The sequence below is a fragment of the Homo sapiens genome, chromosome 3 (assembly GCF_000001405.40).
Source record: "Homo sapiens chromosome 3, GRCh38.p14 Primary Assembly".
In the NCBI taxonomy this organism is placed as follows: domain Eukaryota; kingdom Metazoa; phylum Chordata; class Mammalia; order Primates; family Hominidae; genus Homo; species Homo sapiens.
This window is the reverse complement of record NC_000003.12, coordinates 53685157-53710698: the sequence shown is the minus strand read 5'-3', so window position 1 is coordinate 53710698 and position 25542 is coordinate 53685157. Positions and strand designations below refer to the sequence as shown.

The 25542-nt window shown below is 44.4% G+C and overlaps 1 protein-coding gene across 22 annotated transcripts in view; it reads right to left on the bottom strand.

Annotated features, from left to right (window-relative positions):
* Nucleotides 1–25542, bottom strand: part of CACNA1D (calcium voltage-gated channel subunit alpha1 D) — a 319123-nt gene that overhangs the window by 103035 nt on the left and 190546 nt on the right. For all 22 annotated transcript variants that reach the window (NM_001128840.3, NM_001128839.3, NM_000720.4 and 19 more), the window contains one exon: nt 7889–8058. In NM_001128840.3, coding sequence (NP_001122312.1) covers nt 7889–8058 — 170 coding nt within the window. The remainder of the gene's footprint in view (nt 1–7888; nt 8059–25542) is intronic.

Genomic DNA, 25542 nt, shown 5'->3' with positions numbered 1-25542 from the left:
CTTCTTTATAAGGTACAGTTCAAACAAAAAGAAAACTGCAATGCTATCTTGGTAAGGGCACATTATTTTGGAAAAAGACAAGAAGAAAGAAATCAAGCAATTAAAATATAGGCATCTTCTGAACACACCACACGGCACATGCACTTCACACAATGCCTATGTGCAAGGAAAAGGTATCAGAGATGTTGCGGAAAAAGAAAGCTCAGTCTCAGCAATTTACCATGATCTTTAGCCCTGCGTTGCCGAAAGCAGCAAAACTTCTTTTTCTTCTTATCCTCTTTAAGCAAGTCGGCCACTGTGACCCCTTCAGGTTGAACACAGGCAATTTCATTATGAAGCAGCAGAGGGCAGCAACAGCAGCCAAACCAGGGCCCCACGCGGCCAGCCCTGCCAGCCAGGTTGCCTCACGCAATGGACGCCCGCCTGCCCCAGACCCCTCCTGCTAGGAATCCAGCTCAGCATCAGAACAGCGGAGAGGAAGTGCCCTTTCCACAGCTATTACACAAACACCTGTCTTTAAGAACCTGTTCTAAATCAACAACCAGCTAACCCATGCTAGATAAAGGTTTCCAGGGTTTGGCTTCCCATCTAAGTAGGGTATTAAGGAAAAGGCACTTTAGGGGGAGTCAGGAGCCCTGTACAGACTGGATATGTGATTCCAAACAGCACTACCATATGGGACAGGACAGGTGGGAGTTCAAAAGGTGGGCTCTGGACTCTGACAGGCCAGGTCTAACCCCAGCCCTGTCACTTCCATGTCAGAAGACTGTGGACAGGTTACCTGATACTGTGAAGCCTTAGTTTCCTCCACACCTGTAAGATGTCAATAATAATTGGACCTGTACTGCGTAAGGTTGTTGTAAGAGGTGAACAGTGGAGACAGTAATAAAAGCAATGTGCCCAGCTTTGGCAAGGCACAATCAACCACCACTACTGTCATCACTACGACTCTCCCATGACCACCAGGTCACGAGAGAAATGACTCTAGGATCTTTAACCCCTTGCAGCCCCATGATTCCATGATCACTCTAAGCCAGCTAGTCTTTAGAGTACGGACCCTGTGCTCTAGGGGAGGGTTGTGCGAAGCAGTGTGAGACAGCAGCAGGAATGCTGGAGTAAGCAAGGGCATGGGCAGCACAGACACCTGCACACTATGGGTAGGCAGAATACTCACGTTCCTAAAATGTGCATCCTTTCTGACACAGCAGACCCTTTTCTTGTATCCTCTCCCACAAAACCATGAACACGAGCACGCAGACACAGGGGCATGTGTTTGCAGGGGTTAATGATAGTTAGCCTGCAGACTGTGGCAGAGCTTGGGTTCAAATCCCAGCTTTGCCACGTAAGTCACATGGCCTTGGGAAGCTACTGAACTGCTTTGTGCTTTAGTTTCCCCATCTGTCAAGTTCCTGTCTCACAGAGTTGTGTGAAGAAGAATGAATGTATTCACCCACAGCCTTTGGAACAGTGTCTCACACACAGAAAGCACCTGACAAATGCTAGTTATTATTACTCTATGTTCTTTCATTCAAGAAGGAAGTAATGGCATGCTCATGTATGGGACAAGCACTGTGCTGGGTGCAGCCACACAACAGAGGGCAGAAACAGACCCTATTCCTGCTGCACCCATGGAGCTGATGGTCTCATGGTGGAGAGACCTCTATAAAGTAGAGGTCCACGTGCTGTAGAGTGCATAGTCCATTGTAGCAGTTTTTATAATGGCAATTTATTGAAAAGAGCCAACATTTTGCTTTAAAAACATGGGAAATATCTGTGGTACATGGTTCAGTGAAAAATACCTGTGTTGGGCATCTTAGGGTGGAAGCTATATGCATGCGGTCTGTGTCATGTATTATGTGCAGTGAGGTGGGGAAGTAGAGGCCCCAAACTTCTAAGTCTGCCTCTCTTTAAGGAGAAGGAAGAGAGAATTTTTTTCTTACTTTATATACTTTGAAATTACATGAATTTTTTATGTAGGCAAATATTACTTCCATAATTAAAATGTATTAAAAACAAATAAAACAACCCTGATTTGAGACTGCAAACTTGGCTGGAGTACCCACTCCTTGTCTCCACAGTGGGGCAACAGTCCCTGAGTCCAGCTCCCATCAGCTCTTAGGAGGCTGAAGGTGATGGCAGACATGCAGGCACTTTTAGAAATTACCACTGCTTTCTATCACCCCTGTGGAGAGAGTCTGCCTGTCCAGACAACTACTCCCAGTGCCACCCCAATGGAGACAGTGTCCAGCCACTGACCCTAGGGCCAGCCCCTGAGTCAGCCCTCCCACTTCCCAGTGAAAGCACTTCCAGCTGCCTCTCCAGTGAGGGCTCTTGACCTGGACGCATATTTACCGTATGCCACTCTAACTGCTGCTGTTTGCTTTACAGCTTTTACTTGAGTATCTTCCATTTTGAACTTGTGCCTTGAGGTAGTTCAATGGTGATGAAAGCAGTTTTGTAAATCAAAATTTCAAAACACAGTCTTTCAAAACAGGACCAGCAAATTGCTATGCCTTATGCTTGCAACCAGCTATAACGTCCTGGTTTTCTGTCCACCCCCAAAGCAAACATTGCAGTAAGAGGCAACTAGGTAGCACATGCAAAAGAGAGGCAGCTAGGGCAACCTGCTCCACCAAGCCCCAGGGTGGCAGAGTCCCCGGGCAGGCAGGGGCAGTGCCCATAGCCTCCAGGACCACTGAAGAAGCAGAAGACAGAGAGGCTGCCCTTGTGGTCAGAGATGAAGTTTCAGGTATGCCCCTCCCTTTCTTTGGGCATCAAATATCTTTACTTAGAGGAATTATTAATCATTAATAGTTCCTACAATAAAATTGCCCTGCTTTTCTGGCCAGAATTTTAGAATGAGCTCCCTTTAAAATGATTTCATTTTTAATGCTTTTTTTTTTTAAGACTAATCACTGACAATGAGAAGAGTTTAAAATAGAATTTTAGGCTTCCAGATTTTAATGGTCCTAGCAAAACTCCATTGTTAACTCAGAAGCAGCTGCATATGTCTAAAAAAATCACTTTGAGATTTGGCAGGGTTTCTTAAGAAACTTGAAGCTCAGCAAAAAGTTAAATAAATTATCCTTGAAAATTTACCAAATGCTCAGGAACTCACTTCAAAGGGAATTTTGTCCATTCAGTTAATTGTGTAACACCAGCTTTCTAATAGCAAATTTATGAAATTGACATTTTAAATATTCTATGAATGCACAAAGCTGGAGCTACCTGTCACCAGTCACCAGACAGCTCAGTTAGAGGCCTGATTGCCTCTCCTCTTCTTTCAAGTGAATGCCTGGAACAGTGTGATATTCAGCCACTGATAGCATCCTGGACTCAGGAGTTCTGAACCCTAGCTTCACATTAGAATCCCCAGGGAACCTTAATGAAAAAGAGCCACCCCTGGCTCCCACCCCAAGATTAATCAAGAGTCTTAGAGGGTGGAGTATGGCATCAAGAAGCATCCAAGCTCCCCAGGTGATTATAACGTACAGCCAGTGTTGGGCATCGCAGACGCATGCAGTGACATTTAGCAGATCAGAGAGAAAAGATAATGTGAGCGCATCTCCAAGTACTTGATTTGACATCTGTTCCCTGACAGCAAGCACCGCCAAACTAGAAATGGACTTCAAGAGCCTGAAAGCTGTGCTGCCCTATCTCGAAAGTGACCTAGTTAACAGATTTGTTTTCCATCAATACTTCAGAACTTTATAGTTTCTGAACAGAAAAGCACAGGGCAATGGTCCTAAGAGGGAGGCCCCACCCTGAGGCTGGTTAGCGGTCTAGGAGAACCTTCAAAAATATTATGTTTAGGAAAGTCAAATACTGCATATTCTCACTGATAAGCAGAAGCTAAATAATGTGTACACATGGACATAGGGTGTGGATGGAATAATAGGCATTGGAGACACAGAAGGGTGGGAGGGTGGAAGAGGCATGAGGGATGAGAAATTACTTACTGGGTATAATGTACACTTTTCGGGTGATGGTTACACTAAAAGCCCAGACTTCACCGCTATGTAATATGTCCATGTCACAGAACGGTATTTGTACCCCCTAAATTTATACCCCTAAAATTCTGTTGAGGTCAACTTTTACTGGTGTCTGATGAAAACAGCAGCAGCACATACTACAACTATGACTACTCCTAGCAGTCACAGAACGTTCAATTGTCACAACAGCCCCATGGGGAGATATATCTTTATCCCCTTCTTGCAGACAAGGAAAGTGGGGTCCAGAGAGGTTGAGTAATTTGCCTAATACTAAAGTCCAAATTCCAAGTCACAAAACTCCATTGCAGCCACATCCGGAGAAGGGGCATCAAGATGCCCTCCAGCCCAAGCCTTTGCCTCCTGTGAGCTCACAGACATCTGCTGTTATTAATGACTTCCTACACCCACTTCTGCTCATCTAGGCTGAGGCTCGGCTATCAGGAAGCATTTCTTCTCACACTGTCACTTCAATCCTCAAGGTCTGGGAGGAAACTGCTCAACTCACATCCAGGACCCAGCTGAAAAGGGCTCTCAGTTGAATTAGCATCCTTAGCCATTATGGACAAAGTCAGGAGCCCGGGCCCTGCGCCATCCTCCTCTCAAGAGGTAACAGAGGAGCAGGGTTGGAGTGGAAGGCACGTGGGGTGATCTCACACCCCCAGGGAGGATGCAGACACCGTAACACTGGCAACACCCACATTTCTACTGCCTGCTAATCAGATGCACAGAGACAGCCCCAGACCTGGCATGTGCATGTGGTGAATCCAGGACTGTTTATTTGGTGAGGAGGACCATGTGGGCCTCACTGAAACCCTCTCCTTGTGTGGTTTTCTGGCTGTGACAGGAAGAAAATGGCTGGCAGCCACAGGAGGCCCCAGGGAAACCTCAACAGTGCTGTCTCCTCCAGAGGGTCTGGGCTGCTGAGGTCTGTGATCAGAGAGGTTCTCTCCTCAGAGGAGGAGGAGACTTGGTGCTCTCAAGTCAGCTAAATCCCATCATGGCCTCCACAGCCAAGATTTCTGTCTTTATTTAAAACCCTCATCAGCAAGGCTCTGGAAATCTGATGACTCGGGAAGCACTGTGAGCCTCACTCCACAGGAAACCCCAGCACCTGGCAAAACGAGCTCCATAAAGAACAAGGGCGCACCACAGAAATATTTGCTATTCTGGATCAAACGTTAAGCTAGTTAATCATTTTGAGTCACACATCACGGTGCATAGCAGAAACAATACTGCTGATGTTCCCAAGACACATTGCAGCTTTATGGGCTTGGGAGCCCCAGTGAGAGTGAATTCTGAAGATCTACAAGGCTTTTAAACAGGTTTTGTTTCTTTCCTAGATTATATTACTGAGCAATGCACTTAAGGGCCCTGAATATTTGTCACTTCGCACACCTTGTTTGTGCCATTTCCCCAGCTTGAAAAAGCCCCCACCCCCAACCTCTGCCGCCCAGGGCTGCTCCTCCCACGGAGCCTTCCTCACATCGCCCCAGCCTGCCCACTCCCACCAGCCAGAATCATCGCGCCCTCCTGGGCTCACACAGCAGAGTGCTGGGCCTTAACAATGGGATCAGCTTCTCACACTAAGCCACTCCTTCTCCATCTTCCCCTCATGGCAAGTTCTCTGAAAGGCAGAGTCATTGATTTCTGTCATCATCAGGTTTTTACAGTGATAGGTCATAGGAAATGCTGGGCTGAGATAAAATGGTTAACCCTCAAGATATCACCTTAAATCCAATGAAAACCCTTAATCCTCAAATCATAGGCCCTATAAACAACTCTACCACGACTAATGTTAGCAACACTAGAACACGAAACCTTGTCTACTTCTAGAGGAGGAGAAATAAACAGAGGAAAGGCCACTGGCCTGTAAGAAGGCCTCACTCAGCTCCCTGGGGGACACAGCTAAACTAGCAAAGAAAGACACTCTGCTGAGAAAAAGGGGCCATACCTCCTCTCGTTTACAAATAACATGTTGGGTTTAGGGGAGATGGGGCAGGTCAGCATCTGAGTTACAGTTTGCAAGTGAAGGGGAAAAGAGCGGTGCAGGCATCTCCAAGCTGCACCTACATGGCCTGTTGCCATACTGCAGGTGCAGAAGCTCCACGAAAGCCATGGGGTTCACGTTGGCTCAACTGCCAAGGGGAGAGCTGTGCAGAGGACAGGCAGACACTCTTACATCTGATCACTTCATAGGCACATCGCTGAGTCTGAGACTCACATGAATGTCTATTTATAAACTCTGAACTTGCATTCAGCAAACAGTTAGCTCTAGAAACCCTCCCTCAGTCTTCTGATCCTCAGGTGCTAAAGTCCTGGCCCCTTCCTGAGCCTGGCAAGAAGCAGGGAGGGAGAGAAGAGAGGCCTGACCCTGCCCACTCCCAGTCAGCACACTGGTTTGCACCAGCCAGGGCATCTGAGATCACGGAACACACTCCCTCCCCATGGAGGCACAGAGCCCAGGCTTGAAGAAAGGTAAGGGCCCTCTCAGTCAAGAAGCCTCTCCACCAGGGGTCTCTCAGCCCCCACTTACACACTCCACAACCTCCAGAAGAGGCACAATTGCACCTCACCCACCCTTCCTATGGCAGCTCACCCCGACCTTCATACCCTCTGTGCTCCAGCTGAAGGGCCCACTGCTTCCTCCCTGAAACCTGGCCTTTGTCCACCTCCACGCCTCCCTCACGCTAGTCCCCTGGGTCAGGGTGCTTCTTCTGACACTGAATGGTCACACCTGCAATCCATCCATCCTTCAGGGCCCAGGCCAAATGCTCCCTCCAGCCCTGTCCTCGATCCCTCGTCGGCGGTGCCTGCCCTCTATGTGTGCCCTGCAGCTCTGCTCCCCAGGGCTGCATTTAGTGTGACAGGCCTGTCTCTCCCTAGGAGGCAGCACTCCACATCCTCTCCAGCTCTGGGTTTCCCCTGTACCCAGCAACAGGCCTTGCTGAGAGCAAAACATCCAAGGCGCTCTGCTCAAGCAGGGACTTGCTCGGCCATCTTCTACAACGTAGGGCCGGCCTCGGGTCCCCAGGCCTCTCAATGGACATGTGCACTTGAAGTACGTTCTTGGTCCTTCCTATCCAACTCTTCTAGATTTGAAGCAAGTCACAGACATCTCAGTCAAATGCATTGCTGGATTCCAGTTTCCACTCTGACCCGAGGCACAAAGGGCCCCAGAGAGAATAAGAGCGCATCTGTGGGAAAAGTATGCAGTGAAAGAGACACCGTGGTTGACAATGGCAATTAATGTCAGTGATGGACTGAGTTCTCAGGCCTTGCCTCCTGCAGAAGGTGCTCTAGGGTGCTTAGTGTCACAGTGTGGGGTGTCGATGGGTGACAGCAAAGCAGCTGTCACTGACTCACGTGCCCCTTAACACCTGCCTAGAATGGTGAGCCGGTTTCCTCCCAGCCCCTGATGGGCTAAGCATATGGCTTCATATGAATAGCACATGTAGGAGCCATGTCAGGTGGCCTAAGAGTAAGAGTCAAGAGGAACCCTGCACTTCAAATTCTTGTCCAATAACACTGTTCACTCTGAGGTGAGGGAAACCACAGCTTCTTCTCCTGTGGTACAAGAATATGTGTCTCATCACCCCTGTGCCCGCACAGAAATGCGCTTACTGAATTTCCCAGGCCAACAGTGGGTCCGTTTGACCTTCCTTGGCTATAAAGCCACCTTACCAAATACAACTCTAAACCCCAAACCTCAGGCAGAAATCCAGAGTCAGCACCAATGCACCTGTTCTCTCCGTGATGTGTGCAGGCAGAAGGGACCAGATGGCTGGGAGGAGGCTGTCCCACTCACAGCCTGGGTCAGAGTCGAGGAAGGCCTACTGCTAGGCGTCTGAACCGCACACTGGGTCTGTCTAGCCAGGGGCAGGAAAGGCGCTACATACTATTTCGTTTGCCTTCCTCTCCTCCTTCTTCCTCATTCTCCGGATCGATGTCCTCAGCTTGGGTGATCCAATCCAAGTAGCCCTTTAGATCCTCCTCCAGCTGCTGCTTCTCCCGGAGCTTCTGGAAATCTCCCCGTGCTTTTGCCTTCTCTCTTTCCTTTGAGAATTCTCTGAAGGAGGCAAAGAGGACAAGCACATATCAGGACATCCTTGGGGACCTGCATCCTGAGCCACTGCCCTACTGCACAACAGTCTTGTGGGCAGGACACACAGCACTGAGTATAGTCACATGAGCACAGCAATGGAGCCACACACTTGGACAGGACAGAAGACAGTGTCTTCCAAAGCAAGACTATGGGGGTCAGAGTCGCAGAGCCCACACCAACACACATGCATCATTTCTTAGAAAATGAACTCCCCTCGATGACAGCGATCTCAAGGGGCCTAGGCCCAAAACACCATGTGCTGTCATGGCAGGCCTCTGACACCCCCCAACAAGGGGCCTGAACTCAGAGACGCCCCACTTTCCCCAGAGCCTCCTCAAAGAGGAGGGACCCAAATGGGCCAAGCTGTGGTCAAAGAGTACCAAGTTTAGAACTTCTTCAATGCTTTTGGACAAACTTTGCATTAATATTGTGTGCTACCCCTTTTGTCCAAACCAAGAGCTCTGAGCAGGCAGCAGTCCTTGCTGGTGCCCACACTAGGCTCCTCTACCCATCACCTGCAGGTTCGGGCCAGAGCAGTGCATGGAGTCAGGGCAGTCCCCACCCCCTCCACAACCCAGTTCTCCCTTCCCAGATGGGAACTCGAGCACTGATGAAGCATTACTGTTTTTCTTAACCCCTGCTACTTGTCATGGTCTTCCCCAAAAGTCTTCCCTGCAGGAGGGGAAGAGGCATATGATTTTCTGCCCATTTATAGGAACACCTGCCCTGGAAAAGATCTGGCAGACAGGTAAATGTTCCCAATTGTGGGGTGTTTATGCTACTTTCCACCATGTGTGCAAGCCTCTGACTATGCATATATACAAAACCCCACATACTCAGGCAAGCCTGAGAGTCAGGTGGACGATTACCCAATTTTTATATATGAGGAACCATCTGCATCTCCAACCGTGAGTTGTTATAGGAGCCAAGATATGTGAGTTAGAGACTTAGTAAAAAGCTGCCAAGGAAGCAGGTGAGGTTACAGCAATGCAGTTTCTGCACACAGACCTTGAGATTCTGACACAGGTTACTTCTGTCTGCCTTCTTGCCTTTGTTCCGAGTCAAAGCCAGCATGTCTCTTTCAGGGTCCTACCTCGATAAGCCAACCCAACCCAACTCAACCCAACCCAACCCACGAATGGGGAAGTGACCTGCTTTCATAAAGCTAACCCCAGCCAGGCACGGTGGCTCACGCCTGTAATCCCAGCACTTTGGGAAGCCAAGGTGGGTGGATCATGAGGTCAGGAGTTTGAGACCAGCCTGGTCAACATGGTGAAACCCCATCTCTACTAAAATAAAAAGAATTAGCTGGGCATGGTGGTGCAGTCCCAGTTACTCAGGAGGCTGAGGCAAGAGAATTGCTTGAACCTGGGAGGCAGAGGTTGCAGTGAGCCAAGTTCATGCCACTGCATTCCAGCCTGGGCAACAGAGCAAGACGCTGTCTCCAAAATAATAATAATAATAATAACAACAACAACAAAACTAACCCCATATTCACACCCGTCTCTTAACTCTAGGCTGTCGAGGGGCTGAACAGATGCTTGCACACCCAGTGACACTAATACTTCAGATAAGAAACTGGAATCCTCACCAAGTGCCACCCTCTGCCCACAATTAGAAAGAATCCCACTCAGACAGAGGTTGCGGCGGGCTGAGATTGCACCATTGCACTCCAGCCTGGGCAACGGAGCAAGACTCCATCTCAAAAAAAATAAAAATAAAAATAAAAAAGAAAGAAAGAAAGGAAAAAAAAAAGAAAAGAAAAAGAAAGGATCCCTCTCATAGCTTCTAAATCACCCCACTTTCCAGACTCCCTGGAACCTATCCTTGGTCCTGTTAGGGCTGTCAGTCTCCACTCCACCCCCTGTGAATAAGGAAGGAGGCCAGGCTTTGTGGATCTAGAGAGTGAGCAGGAGCCGATCTGAGCCCAGACACGTGCTCTGACCTCCCAGCCCAAAGAACACCTGCTGTCTCAAAGAAGTAAGGACTCCAGTGTCTCGCCATTCACATGTACCACACCCTGAGAATGGTTTGGGGTTTCTAGGCCTCCGGGGTTTCCTGACACATGGGAAATACATAACTCAGCTCTAGGTAAATTCACCAAATGATTCTCTGAACTCTGAAAAAATCACAACTCAATCCAGAATCACATCCCTGAGCAACAGTAAGAGGGCTTGGCATGTCATGTATCTGCAGGAAAATGAATTATATAATCTGTTTTCTTAAATACATCTCAAAGAAAAGTGGACCTTCAGTTCTATTATTCACCAGAAAAGTATCCTAGTACAAATCTGTTTGCATGTTTTGATTCCGAACTTAGAATACTAAATTCAGATGGTTACATACAAACAAGGTATTCTTACTTTGGGTCCATATCATATATGGGTTCTTGGGAAAAAAATTATGAAGATAGTAAAAGAGTTACCCTGAGAAGCTTAAGGACATTCATTTTATAATGCATAATTACATACATTATATACATTTTATAATGTATTATAATTATATAATTATATTTTATTTTTAAATTATATAATTATATACATTTTATAATGTATAATTACATACATTATAAAATGAACGTCCTTAAGCTTCTCAGGGTAACTCTTTTACTATCTTCCTAATTTTCTTTTGTAATATTTTATGCCTTTTTAACATTACAAATATAAAAATCCCATTTCTAACAAGCTGCATCACTGTTGTACATTTTCCACTGCTGGGACACAGGTAAGCAGGCATAAGTAAAACTCTACTCTGACTAAAATTCCTAGGAGTAAAAAACCCTGCCAAGTCCTGGTTTATGGCCCACTCACAATGATGGTCACTATCACAAAAGCTCATATAACAAAGCTGCTGATATAGACCCTCTGAACTGATTTTAGACAGTTCTGAATGGCTGAATATTTAGCAGGAAGGTATTATTTATTGATGTGGACAGAGGTGAGGTTTATACAGTAGAAATCTGTTGGCCACAGGGCAGGATGGAGGAAGGGGGCAGGGAGGTAGAGTCCCTGTGATAAACCCAGATAAATCCTTGGCCCTCCTACACCACTCTGGGCTCTTCGTCTGAAGACCTGGCTTCTAGTCCTAGCTCTGTCACTGCTGTGTTCTGAGCTTCAGTTTCCTCACTTCCAAACAGACACAACAATACCTGTTCCGCTGTTTCACAGGAATTAAGCAAGACATTCAGTAAGGCTTTGAAAACACAAAGAGTGGTATCAACGTGAAGTTCAAATGTATAATAGTTGTTGAATCCAGACATAAGAGAGACATTCAAAAGGCAAATGGAAGAGCTTTCTCAAATTATCAAAGGGAGAAAAATTAGCACTAGCTGTGAATGGGCTCTAAGCTGCCACAAACCCGTTAGGATTGGGAGACACATAGAAGGACACATGGGTCCCAAGGCTCAGAGTGATCGCAATGAGCTGGCAAACCCACTGCCAATCCTGTACACTATCTGCTCAGTTGAGAATAACCCATTCCCATCACAACTGACCCTCTGATCCTGAAAATCACACCTCAAGTCCGAGGCACCTTCTATCAAACTTTGCAATGATGGGAAAAAAGTTACTCCACTTTGCATAAGAATTCATCATATTCTAAGAATCCTATTACTAAGAGATTGTTTTACAAAGCTTATTTAATAAAGCTATTGGTAGAAACCAACAGACTTTTGCAAGTGACTAAAAATCCAACAACTGTTATATGCTAGGAGTCTTCTTGTTCCAAACCAGAATTTTGGTTATGGTGTGTCTGATCAAAAGATAAATAAGAAGTGCCTGGATGAAAAAAAAAAAAAAAGCAATAAAGTGTGCTACCCTTTACACACGAAAAACTGGGAAATAAAAGGAGCATATTTCTCTCAGGTGTATCTAAAAGAAAGAGCAGAAAACAAGGGATGGGAATGAATTAGGCCAAAGGAATCAAGGTTGGAGTGACACTCTTAAGTATACCTTTTTCTATAGTTTTGACTTTGGGAACCATGTTAATGTTCTTCACCTTAAATTTTTAAAAATTAAGTCAGTAAGGATGAGATGAAGGGAAAATACCCCTAAACTGAAAGTGATTTGAAACAAACAAATCTGTAATTCAAATGAATACCATAACCAGACTGAAGGAGAAAGACAAAACTAATTCAAATAGCTCATGAATATTTGACGACATACTCTCAGTCTTGGGTAGGATTGGAGTGAGGGATGAACTACAAACAAATGCTGAACTCTTTTCAGTAGCTTTGTTTTTTGCAGTGATGTGGATGAGACCATTCTGAAACTATCTTAGACATATTACAGGATTTAGCCAGTGAGTACATGTGCTAATGCTGCTGGGAGCCAGAGTTCTCGCTGTGGAAGGAGGGACACAGAAACACGGAACAGAGAAGAACCCTCTGGGGACAGGCTGGAATTGAAGGTATAGGTGTGAACTGATGATTTCTAAAAGATGTTTATTTTAAAGTCTGATTTCCAATGTCTGATTTTTAAAAGAGGCTGATATGTGAGTATGTGTATGTATCAATGTAAGTATGTGTATGAATATGTGTACGGAAATGCATATATTTCCTAGGTCTGCCTGTTGAAAGGACTTAGAAGCAAAGATGCTCTGGCAGGTACAAGCACACCTGGTACCCACATCTTGGTCTCTAATAACATTCCCCATTAAAAGGAACCAGGGGACTTTGGAGAACTGGGTGATTCCAGGGCAAGGGTAGGGTAGGTACAAGATGAAGAAAATAAGGAAGTGCTCAAAAAACAAAAACAAACCAAAACACATTATGGAGATATGTCATAAGGATACAGGAGCTAGAGAAGTAGCTCCTACTAGCCAAATCTTAGGAAATTTGAGCACTGAAATAACTAAGGACAGTAATAAATTATAAAATATTTTTAAAAATCAGTCCACATGTCTTATGGATAGATAACAAATGAAAAAGTAAATGAGGTAAAATTTAATATTAGGTGAACTGGGGTAAGGGGTACATGGATTATTCACTGTGCTATTTCTATTCTTGGGGTTGTTCTATATATTTGAAATTATTTCCAAATAGAAAAAAATTTGAATGCTTAGAAGATATAACTCCACTACTAACCAAATTCAAATTCATGCTATTACATATTCATTTCAGCTTACCAGCTAGACTGTAAGCTCCTTGCAGGCAGGAACGGACAATGTTGTCTGTCCATTTCTCATGTATTTCTTCCCATGTCTCTATTTCCCCTTGGCGCCACTTCATATAGGCATGCAGGAAGGCTATGTACAAAAAATTGTATCCAACAAAACAAGCCCTACTCCTACTCCTTCAGGAGGCCAGAAAATGTCCCTATAGGACAGAAAGCCCACAATTGCTGGGATCGCCCAGAAGCATGAAATGAGTGTGCCCAAAACTAGACATATCATCTGGAGCAGCCTCCACGGCCAGCTCGCCATTTTCCCTTATTGTGTTCAGGCCTCATGTGGTAGATCTTCTGTCTCTAGGTCATTAAGATATTCCCTTTTATCTCCTGGTTGAGAAGCAATTACTCAGTAAGGAATCTCCCTAACAGCCTAACAGGACAGCTGTGAAGTGTCTTATGCAGGCCTGTCTGCACACACCCATTCCCTGGGCAGCCACAGGAGCTGCGGCCAGAGCATTTCATCAGAGCTTGCTTCCCTCTCTGCTCCAGGTCGCTGCAGACCCAGACTTCCCCCTGGTGGCATCCTACTCAGAATGTCTCACAGCTCCTTGTTGCCTCCCTCAAGGATGAAGGTCAGATGCTTCTGCCTGCCACTCAAGGCCTTCCAGCCTTCTCCCAAGTGCTATTCCAGCCTTATTCACCCATCCTATAAATGCACACCTTATACTCTGGCCACACTCTTCTCAATTCCGCAACCCTGTGAGCTTTTGTCTACAGAATTCCATCCACCTGGGCAGCCTTCTCCCATCTTTGAATCCAGTGCACCTTTCAAGACCAAGCTCAAGTCTCATGCTTTTGGTGACACATTCTCTGGCTTACCCCATCCAAATGCATTCTGCCTGCCTCTAATTCACCAGAAAACTCTACTCATTGAGCACCAAAACATGAATACATGTGTCCCCTACCCTGGGTGGCCCCCTCAGCCTTGCAACCTAACCAGAGCCCAGAGCAACACCTTACCCCATCCCCGCTGGTGAGTGACTATGGGGAGGCAGGGGCTGCTATCACCCTCTTGTATAGACACTGAGGCTCACAGCACGTGGGCACACAAGGCCATGCAGCTGCTGAATCTACCCTAAGCACCTCAACACGATGCCTGGAAGGAAAAGCAGGAGCAGAGGAAGGAGAAGGTAGACACCAGGAGGATGAGGATCAAAACCAGGCTACAAGGCCAGACACAGAGGCTCACGCCTGAAATACCAACATTTTGGGAGGTGATGGTGGGAGGATTGCTTGAGGCCAGGAGTTCGAGACCAGCATGGGCAACAGAGTGAGACCCCATCTCTACAAAATAATTTTTTTTAAGTTAGCCAAGTGCAATGGCATGCACCTGTGGTCTCAGCTACTCAGGAGGCTGAGGCAGGAGGATCACCCGAGCCTGGGAGGTTGAGGTTGCAGTGAGCTGTGACTGTACCACTGCACTGCAGCCTGGGTGACAGACAGAGACCTTGTCTCAAAAACAATCAAACAAACAAAAAAACTAACGAAAACAGGCTTCCTGTCAGTCCAGAAAGGGGCTTAAATACAAAACTAAGGAACCTGGATTGCTTCTCTGTAGGCAAGGAGGAACAGACAGAAATTTGATAGGACTCCTATCAGCTTTCACAGGTGTTATGCGTGAACAGAAAATGAAAATAAGAAGAAAATGGTGCTGAGGAAGACCAGAGACATTCAGTAAGCACTGGGTGATGGGTTGGATTTAACATCAATACCAATGTGGTCAAAAACACACTTCTCATGAAGCCCCAACTTTCTTACACGACTATTTGGAAAAACACCTATGACGCCTGTCACTGACCCCCAACCACCACCATGCTACGGTCACTGTCACCTCTGCCCTTTCCACACCAGTCCCCTGGGTCTAGCACACCAGTGTAATCATCTCCCCTCATGTGGACCTTCCTTGTCAGGGCCCCGTGACACCCCATCTGCCACATGAACATTTCTTGTCCACCTGTTCAGGGAAGAAGGACGGGCTGGGCGGGGCAGGAGGAGGGATGGAGAAGAGAGGCTGGTCCCCAGTATCTGAAGGGCTGCCATATGAAGGAAGAAGGATGCCTGCTGAGGGTCTCGGGGCACAGGCACAAGTTTTGAAATAAGACAACTGATTTCAGCACAGTTGCCCTGGGATGCAGCAACTTCCCCAGACAGGGATCCTCAGTAGAGATGGACTAATGACTCGGCAGCGACACCAGATCACAGCACGTTCTAAAGACCTTTCAGCTGCTGCTGCGACTCCAGCCTCCCCAGCACCTCCTCCACGGGGACCTGACTGCTGTGACTTAGTCCATTTTTTGTTGCCCATTTCTTTCCCTGGGCAACAGCCTGGCACGCTCTTGGACCTGGCAGCCAAGTAGTTTGGTGGCATTGACACCCAAGAAGCATAAGTGCTGAGTGAGTTCACGAGAAATGGCTGCAGGGCGCTCTGACGACAGAACAATGGTATGCGCCCCATACTCATCCAGCCCCCAAAAGACCTTTAGATGGAATAGACAAACACAGCAGAACAAGCCAAAATCGTCTCTGAAACAAGCACAGCCTGAGCCCACCCCACTGTGACTGCATCGCCCAGGGTCCTTCACCTGTGACTGCATCGCCCAGGGTCCCAGGAATAACCAACAGCAGCTTCAGCAGAATACGAGCCTGCACAGCTGGGGAAAGCGACCTGGGTTTTGGCAAAACAGCCTGAGTCTCTGCCATGTCCCCTTCTCTAACAATAACAGAAAAAAGCCCCTCATTTATTTAGATTGTTCCTAGAGTCCTCCAAATGTCTTTACATTCACTGCCCCCTGGGCTGCTCACAACCTCAGTGGAAGAGGCAGGAGGAGGATTTTCACATCCATTTCACAAAGGCCAACACGGAGGCTCAACGAGGCATTGTTGCTGGCCCACATCATATGCCCAGTCAACAGAACAACAGCGTTACTAACCAGGCTCCAAATCCTACGTCCCTTCCGTGGGGCTGTGGCTCACGGGGAGGTCATGAATCAGGACCAGGGAGGGAGGACAGGGCATAAAGCCCAGCTCTGCTCACTACTGCACTCTGATTTTCCCCAAGAGCCCCAACTCAGGACAGAGAAAGGTGACAGCCCCCTTTCCGCTCATCTCTCCACCTGCTGTCCCTCACTCCCACTCAGTAAGCACCACTCCAGGGAGAGAACCCCTTGCCCCAGACCCAGCCAGCCTCCATCTAAGGAGCCCCAGTGGAGCCCCCACGGGCTGGGCACACGCCTCATGTTCTGCAGAGAGGCCACCAGACACTCACATGCCCCAGGATTTACAGGCCCTGACATCCTGATCTCCTGGACCCCTGGCTCAGCCAACACTACTGGAGACAGCACGCCCAGGCTGCAGCCAGCCATCACACACAAACAGAGGTGCAGGTGGAATGGGACTGCCGCAGATGCAAGAGGACACGCAGTTTGCTGTGGGAACTTTTATTTCTTAAACGTCCCATAAAATAAATGGGCCACTGGAAGTCATCTTGATTTAGATACAGGATTTTTTTTTCTTGTGTTGCAATGCTATCTGTTTTAATTAGACCCACATAAAATTTAAACAAACAAAACACTTTGATATTTACATACACATGCAAAAAACAAAACAAAACAAAAAACCCTCGAAACAAAGCAAAAAACAACATAACCTCCATTGAAAACTGCCACGAAAATCACTAGGGACTCAGATTTTTAGTAAAACAGAAGGCTCAGAAATTCAGAAAAAAACAAAGGCAACACTTATAAAGGCAAAGAGAAGGGGGAAGTTGAAGAAGTAACCCACTGATTTTTATCAGGGGAGTCCAGCCTTCTTTAGACCTAAATTATTTCCTCTACATAGACATGAAGGAAATGAAACAGAATGCAAATGTAGTTTGATTCAAAGAACTTTTTTGTTTAAATATAACTTCTTGGAAAGCATAAAGGTTCAGTTTCTGTTCAAGGAAACTAGGAATTTTGTAAAAAAAAAAAAAAAAAATAACAGCAATGTGTGATGTTTCACAATTTAAAAAATTTTTAATCATTGGCACTGGCTCAGCTCATAGTTCATCAAAAGCATTGTATTTGTTCCATTTTTCCCTCAACCATGAAAAGCTGGTGATAGCCAAAGGATGTTCTCTCTGCATGAGACCAATAGGCAGAGTGGGGTGGGGAGGGATTAGGAATACAGCACCCCATAAATAAGACCTGCTCCTTTGCAGGTAATGTCTGTGGGGGGAAGACAGCTGGCCTGGGACAGCATTCTCCAGCAGCAGTCATGAAACACAGCTGCCAAGAAATGCATGGGAACCGCTGGTGGGCAAAAAGGACGAGAAAATGGGGGTCCCTTGTTTACACAGTAAAATATGTTGAAGAAAAACATTTGACAATCACATTTCTATTTTTACTTTTAGTTTTGAGACAGGGTCTGGGCTCGGCTGCCCAGGCTGGAGTGCAGTGGCATGCCCTCCACCTCCTGGGTTCAAGCAATTCTTGTGCCTCAGCCTCCCAAGCAGCTGGAATTACAGGTGTGCGCCACCATGTCCAGCTAATTTTTTAATATTTTTAGTAGACAGGGTTTCTCTATGCTGGCCAGGGCAGTCTCAAACTTCTGGCCTCAAGGGATCCACCCGCCTCAGCCTCCCATAGTGCTGGGAAAACAGGCGTGAGCCACTGTGCCCAGCCAGGGTTGTTGATGCTTTCATTGACATAAAAGACGGTGATGATGTTTAAAACAGTTTTCATCTTTTGGGAAGATGAATCATTTTCAGAGTCGGTGTTTCCTAGCTTTTAATGACTAGGTTGAGTTATCCACCATGAACAGAACACAGGAATTAGCAGCTGGGCCACCCTGCACAGACCAAACCTAACTGTTTACATGTGGCACTTACCCTGAGCAGGAGAGTGCGGTAGGGATGGAGTGAAGGAATGCACCACCTATCTGGTCATGTCAGATCTCTCCTGCCTCCTTTCTGACCTCTTCCCCCTTGAACTGTGTACTCTAGACATCCTAAAGTTCACTCAGTTCCTCCAAGGCATGGAGCTCTTTCAACACCAGGCCACTGTGCATGCTGTTGCCTGCATAACCCCTCCTGCTCTTCCAGATACTATCCCACTCGGCTGGCTCAAGACATAAAGACTTTTCTCTACCTTAGAGTCCTCCAGATTAGAACTCCGCTTTTGCAGAATTTACTTCACAGTCCTGCAATTGGTTTTTCACTATTTTCTTTAACTTACCAGACTGTAAACTCTGTTAAGGAGGGGCTGTGTCTGTCTTATCTTTGTATACTGGTTCCTTATCACAAACCCCGGCCATTAGTAGTTGCTCGATAAAAATCACCTAAATAATTGCTTTCACAAACATGGACTTTACACTAATGAGGATCAAAGACATGCAACTTTGGGCTTTGTACTGGGTGTATTTGGCCACAGTGCATATGTAACTTCAATCACCTAAAACTACACCCATCGTGCCATTGATAAACAAAAACAAGCAGGAGTCTTGTATAAGCCTTAAAATATATATATAATATATATAATATATATTATATATAATATATGTAATATATATAATATATATTATATGTAATATATATAATATATATTATATATTATATATGTAATATATATTATAGATATAATATATAATATATATTATATATGTAATATATATATTATAGATATAATATATATATTATATGTAATATATATTATATATGTAATATATATATTATATATGTAATATATATATTATATATGTAATATATATCTGCAATATATATATTACATATATACACACACACACACTCACACAGAAATAAAGTATTTCAGGCATCTGAGTATGAAATATGCCTTCCTTTCACTGTATCTCCTTGTTTGAGGATAGAAGAGCTTCTCTCTCTTTGAAGGGTTAGTTTCCATGGCTACAAAAGACATGCCAATGCTTCCAGTAGAAAATTTTTCCCAATGATGAGAATCCATGAAGGTTGCATGCTAAAAGTTACAGACTTTGTTTCAATCTTTTTAAAACTTAAACATGTTTTAAGAGGTATTCTTCAATTGGGAGGCCGAGACGGGCAGATCACCTGAGGTCAGGAGCTCAACACCAGCCTGGCCAACATAGGGAAACCCCATTTCTACTAAAAATACAAAAATTAGCCAGGCGTAGTGGTGTGCACCTGTAATCCCAACTACTTGGGAGGCTGAGGCAGGAGAATCTCTTGAACCCAGGAGGCGGAAGTTGCAGTGAGCTGAGATCGCGCCATTGTACTCCAAGAGCAAGACTCCATCTCCCCCCCAAAAAAAAAAAAAGAGGTATTCTTCAAAACCATGGGCTCTCTTTTCTGCCATCACTCTCTCTGAACGAAACAGATCACTTAATCACATGAGCCAAACCAATATCATCACATATCTTCATGACAGGTTTCAAATACTGCTACTTAAGAAGTCACTTCATAAACACACTCTGCTAGACTTGTCAGATTCCAGTTTTTCAAGAAAAAATAAGGAAGATGTGCACATGAAGTCTGGCTTGGGAGGGTGGCAGAACCACCTAAAATGAACACTTTTGAAGGCACCAGCAACCGCAGGGCATGTGCTACTGACATGTCACTACAGTTTGCTGTGTGAAGGGCCTGGTTACACTGCCAGAATAAGCTCGAGGCTGGATCTGCTGTTCAGAGCTGCTAGGGGTTCCCACTGTGGAGGAGCACTGTGGACCCAAGGAAGGGGCTGAAATTGAACCCCCTACTGGCATATCCCTAAAGCAGTCACTGTAGGAAATTCAGCCCAAATCCCACTCGCAGGCCACGGAAACCACCCTGTGAGCTGCATCTAGAGAGGAGAGGGATAGAGAAGATCCCCCCGCAGGGGGAGTGCCCACTGAAAGGCACGGTGGGTGGGAAGTACCTTCCCAGAGCACCCAGACTTGGCTGACGGAGAACAAGGGGCAGAGCACCACACCCCAGGGCTGGGCTCAGAGACTGAGAGATCCACCCTCCAGCAACAGGACCCAAAAGGACCACCTGAGCTCAAATGAGACTTGTCCAAAAGCAGATTCAAGAGGAAAACTAAACCAATTTCTCTGAAGCCTCTGTATCCCATTGTTCCACTCAGCATTGGGTAATTAATTTCAGGAAGAGAAAACAAAAACAAAAACGACAAAGCATAGAGCTTTGAGAATACAGCAGCTGAGGATGTACGAGCACAGACCCAGGCTGGGAAGACAGGGTCCCACAGCGGGTTTCCTCTCACCAGACTTAGAACCAGCTTCCAACTGACGAGAAAAGCAGCTTGGGCTCTGGAGACAGACAGATCTAGATTTAATTCCTAGTTTAACTACTTACTAGCTGTGTAAATTTTGAGAAAATTGATAAACCTCCCTGAGTCTTGATTTCCTCATCTGTAAACTGAGGCAAAGAACACTTACCTCATCAAAGTAGTGGAGATGATTAAAATAAACTGAATAAAGCACAGGATTATAAGCAATTAAAAAAAAATCTAGCCGGGTGCAGTGGCTCATACCTGTAATTCCAGGGCTTTGAGAAGCCAAGGCAGGAGGATAGCTTGAGGCCAGAACCTGAGACCAGCCAGGCAACATAGAGAGATCCTGTTTCTACAAAAAATAGTTTTAAAATTAGCTGGGCATGGTGGCATATGCCTGTAGTCCCAGCTACTTGGGAGGGTGAAGTGGGAGGATTGCTTGAGCCCAGAAATTTGAGGCTGCAATGAGCTACAATCGCACCATTGCACTGCTGCCTGGGTGACAGAGCAAGACCTGTCTCTATAAAAAATATTTTTAAAAAGAAAAGAAAAAAGAAAAATTCTCTCATACAATCCACATCCCCAGACTTGACAATCAAAATCCAGAGACCTCTTCTTATCTGAGAGGCACGAGCCACAACAAACTCCCACATCTATACCTTCACTTCCATCTCCACCTCTGCACCTCCATGCAGACCCCATCCCTGCAGCCCCCAGCCCCCAGCCCCCAGGCTCTCCTAACTCCACTGCACTCTGGGAGGTGGCAGCTTTACCTTCCAGGCACAGCTGTCAACCATCACCTTATTTCAAACACTCTGACAGCTCCCGCAGCTTAAAGAAAAAAAAAAAAACCCTGCCTCTCTCAGTGGGTATTCCCAACTGCACATCTGCTCTGCCCACTGCTCACCAGCCAGCACGGAGCACCCTGGCAGCCTCACCATTGCACTCACTGGTTCCGACAGGCAGGAGGCACCAGGTCCCACTCTCCTGACAACTTGCTTCCTTTCTTTACCATCCTAACGAATCCTGTCCATCCTTCAATGCCCAACTGGAGCCCAGCTTCCTTGGGTGAGGCCCTCTGACTTGCCAACCCTCTGCTGTGCTCCTAGGGCATACTGATAGGTACAGGTTTGACGCTGAAACATCCTTGACTGATAGCCAAAGGGGGACAGAGTGCAGCTGCTGGAATCTACACTGGGCCCTGGAATTCTTGGCATGTGTCTGTGGGCCTGTTTGTAAGTAATAGTCCATGATTTAAGGACAGGTGGGCCTCTGGGGACAGTACACCTCTCAGCAGGTGGTGTACTCTCACCCACTGACTTAAAATCCTTCAGACACAGCAAGGGTCTCCAAGACTCAGAGGCCCAAAACTGCCAGCAGGCAACTTAAACCAAGATTTATTTTAAAGCAGAAATTCGAAGGAATGATGGGTTCACTGTGGATTAATGTTTTATCCCTGAACCCAAAACCAAACTCATGACAGTCAGACTTAGAGAAATCAGGCTAATGCGCCAAGTGCCGCTCCAGGTCTTGGAAGGATGTGAGGCCCTGGAGAGAAGTGCAGATAAACATCCAGACTGCAAATGAGATGACTTTTCCAGCTCACAGAAATGACCTCCGAGGAGGAGGACACAACCAGGCCAGTGTGGAGCTCCCACATACTTGGAAAGGTCTTCCCGTTTATCCAGGCCCTTCCCATCCATTTCTCTCCTTGGTTATTAGGATGGCTCTGTGAGAAAAGTCAGAGATGGGGCGCTCCAATTTTAGGAAGAAAAAGCCTTGATTTGGAAACGTGAAGTATACTGACCAAAGAAGTCATGCCTCTGTAAGTACAGAGCAAGCACACGGGCCAGCACTTCTGACCCCTGCCTTTGTGCTCCCCTCACTACAACAGAGAAACCAGTAATCCCTCAGCCAGCAGAGACCCCACAGGCCAGGGTGGCACAGCTCGCAGCCAGATCACTGCCTCACCCCAGCTGGGCGGACCTCCACCCAAGGCCGAGTCTGTGGAGACTGAAGCTTCCAACAGCCCCACAGGGGCTACTATGAATAAGGCTCTATGAGTGCTCATGTACTAGTCATTTTGTAGACATAGATTTTCATTTCTCTTGGGCAAATACTAGAAATGGAATTGCTTGGCCATATGGTGAGTATATGTTTAACTTTATGAGATACTGACAAACTTTGCTAAAGTAGTTGTATCATTTTATGTTTCTATAAACAATGTATGAGCATATCAGTTGCTCTGTACTCTTGGTGACACTTGGAAATAGTCTTTTTGATTTTAGCTATTGTACTATCTATGTAGCAGTTTCTTAACTTGTACTTCCCTGATGGTTTATGACATAGAACATCTTTAATGTGTACTTACTGGCTACTCATATACATTCTTGTGTAAAGTATGTTTTGCCAATTTTTGAGTTGCTCATCTATTATCTAGTTGTTAAGAGTTCTTCACATATTCTAGATACACAGATGTAAGTGTTGTATTTTCTCCCAGTGTGGTTTCCCTTTAAATTTCTAGTCTTTGAAGAGCAGAAATCTATTTAGAAAATATTTATATGTTTAGCTTTTTAATTAGATCTATGATCGATTTCAAGTTTAATGTTTGTGTCTGGTATGACCTGAGCATCACACTTTTTGCAGATACCCAGTTTCTCCAGCTTATTTTTTTTTTTTTAACTAAAAAGAGTATCCTTTCTCCACTGAATTATCTAGCACCTTTATCAAAAAGCAATTGAACATATAAAGGAATTTCTGAATTTGTTATTCCATTCAGTTATTCTAGTCATCTATCTTTATGTCAAACATTGTATTTATTACAGCTTTACAGTAAATTTTGAAATCAGCAGTATAAGCCCTCCTTCTTTATTTTTTATGATTGTTTTCATTAGAGGTCATTTGCAATTATATATTAGTTTTAGAATAAGCTTGTCAGTTTCTAAAAGAAAGGCTATTGAGATTTATAAATGGGACAACATTCAATGCATAGAGAAAAATGGACATCTTAACAATATTGAGTCTTTCAATCCATGGGCATGGTATATCTTCATTTATTTAGATCATTGTAATTTTACTAATCAGTGTTTTGTAGTTTTCAGTGTAGAGGTCTTCCATATCTTTTCTTATATTCATTCCTATTAGGAATGCTATTGTAAATAATTTTTGATGGTAATTTTTTAAAATTTCATTTTCAACACCTGCAGCTTGTATACAGGAATAAAATGGAATTTTGTATACTGACTTTGTATCCTGTCACCCTGCTATACTCATTTATTAATTCTAGCAGGTTTTTGGTTCAATTATTGGGACTTTCTATGTAGACAATTATGTCTGTAAATAGAAATAGTTTTTTCTTTCTTTCCAATCTTTCTGCCTTTTATCTCTTTGTCTTACCTTCAGACTTTCAATAAAACATTGAATAAAAGAAGATAGAAAAATGGTTACTTTGTTCCTAATCTTAAGAAGAAAAGATTGAGTCTTTCACCAATAAGTATGTTGTCAGCTATAGTTTTTTTTTCAGGCTGAGGAAGTTTTTGCATATTCTTAGTTTGCTGAGAGTTATTAGAAATCATTATAGAATATTGTTAGTAATGTCTGCATTTACTGAGGTGATCGTATGATTTCCTCTTTCATTCTATTAATATGGTAAATTATTTGATTTTCCAATGGTGAATCAACTTATTTCTGGCATAAATCCCACTTGGCCATGAGATATTATTCCTTTCATCCTGCTATATTCTATTTGCTAATATTTGAGAATTTTTGTGTCCAAATTAATGAAGGACACTGTGCTTATTATGTCTTTGTAAAGTTTTGGTATTGAGATTTTGGCCTCATGAGTTGGGAAATGCTCCCTCCAACTTTACTACCTGAAAGAATTTCTAGGGATGGTATAATTTTTTTCTAAATCGGCTGACATAATTCACTTTTGACCTCATCTAGGCTTCTAATTTTCTTTGAGAGAAGATTGAGAGAAGATTCTGTTTGCGATTCTGTTTGCGATTCTGAATTCCATTTAAAAAGGCAAATATAGGACTCTCCCAATTTATTTCTTGGTAGGCTGTGTATTTCAAGGAATTTGCCTGTTTCTCCTAAGTTACCAAGTTTATTCTCTTATTATTTTAATGTCTGTAATATCTGTGGTATCTCCTCTTTCATTTATAAAACTGGTAATTTGCTCTTTTTCCTTTTTTGATTAGTTTTGTTAGAGATTTATCAATTTTTATTACGCTTTCTAAATAACTTTATAATTTGTGTTTTCTATTTTATTTACTTCTGTTATTCTTTTTTCTACTTACCTTGGACTTATTTGGTCTTCTTTTTCTAGATTAGTAGATGGAAATGTAGAACTACTGAGTTTAAACCTTTCTTCCTTACTGATATAGCTATAAATGTCCCTCCAAGCACTGCATTCAACGGATCATACAATTTCCCAGTTGGATTTTATCAGTTTCAAAGTATTTTCTAATTTTTATTATTTTTTGAGTTATAGGTTATTTAATTTCCAAACATTTGGGAAGGTTTATAAACAGCCTGTTATTGGCTTCTGTTTTAAATCTACTGCCATTAGAACAAAGATACTTTGTAAAATTTCAATCGAGAGGTAATGAGACTTTCATGGCCAAGATATGGTCTATGTCGGTGAATGTTCCACGTGCTCTGAAAAGAATGTGTATTCCGCAATTATTGAACACAGTATTTTATAAATATCAATTAGGTCAAGTTGGCTGAATTTATTAACCAATCTAAATATAATCTAGATATTATCTATATTTGCTGTTTTTAACCTAGTAATTATTGAGAAGGAATGATACAAATTTTCATCTATGTTTCTAGATTTATCAATTTCTCCACTTAATTTTAACAACTTTTGCTTCATGTACTCTCAAGCTGTATTTAGGTGCCAACACATTTAGGATCATTGTGTCTTCTCAGTGAATTGACCTTTTTATGAGAATAAAATGTCTATTTCTGAAATGTCCCTATTTCTGGAAATGTTCCTTATACTAAAGTCCAACTTGTGTGGATTAGTACAGTTC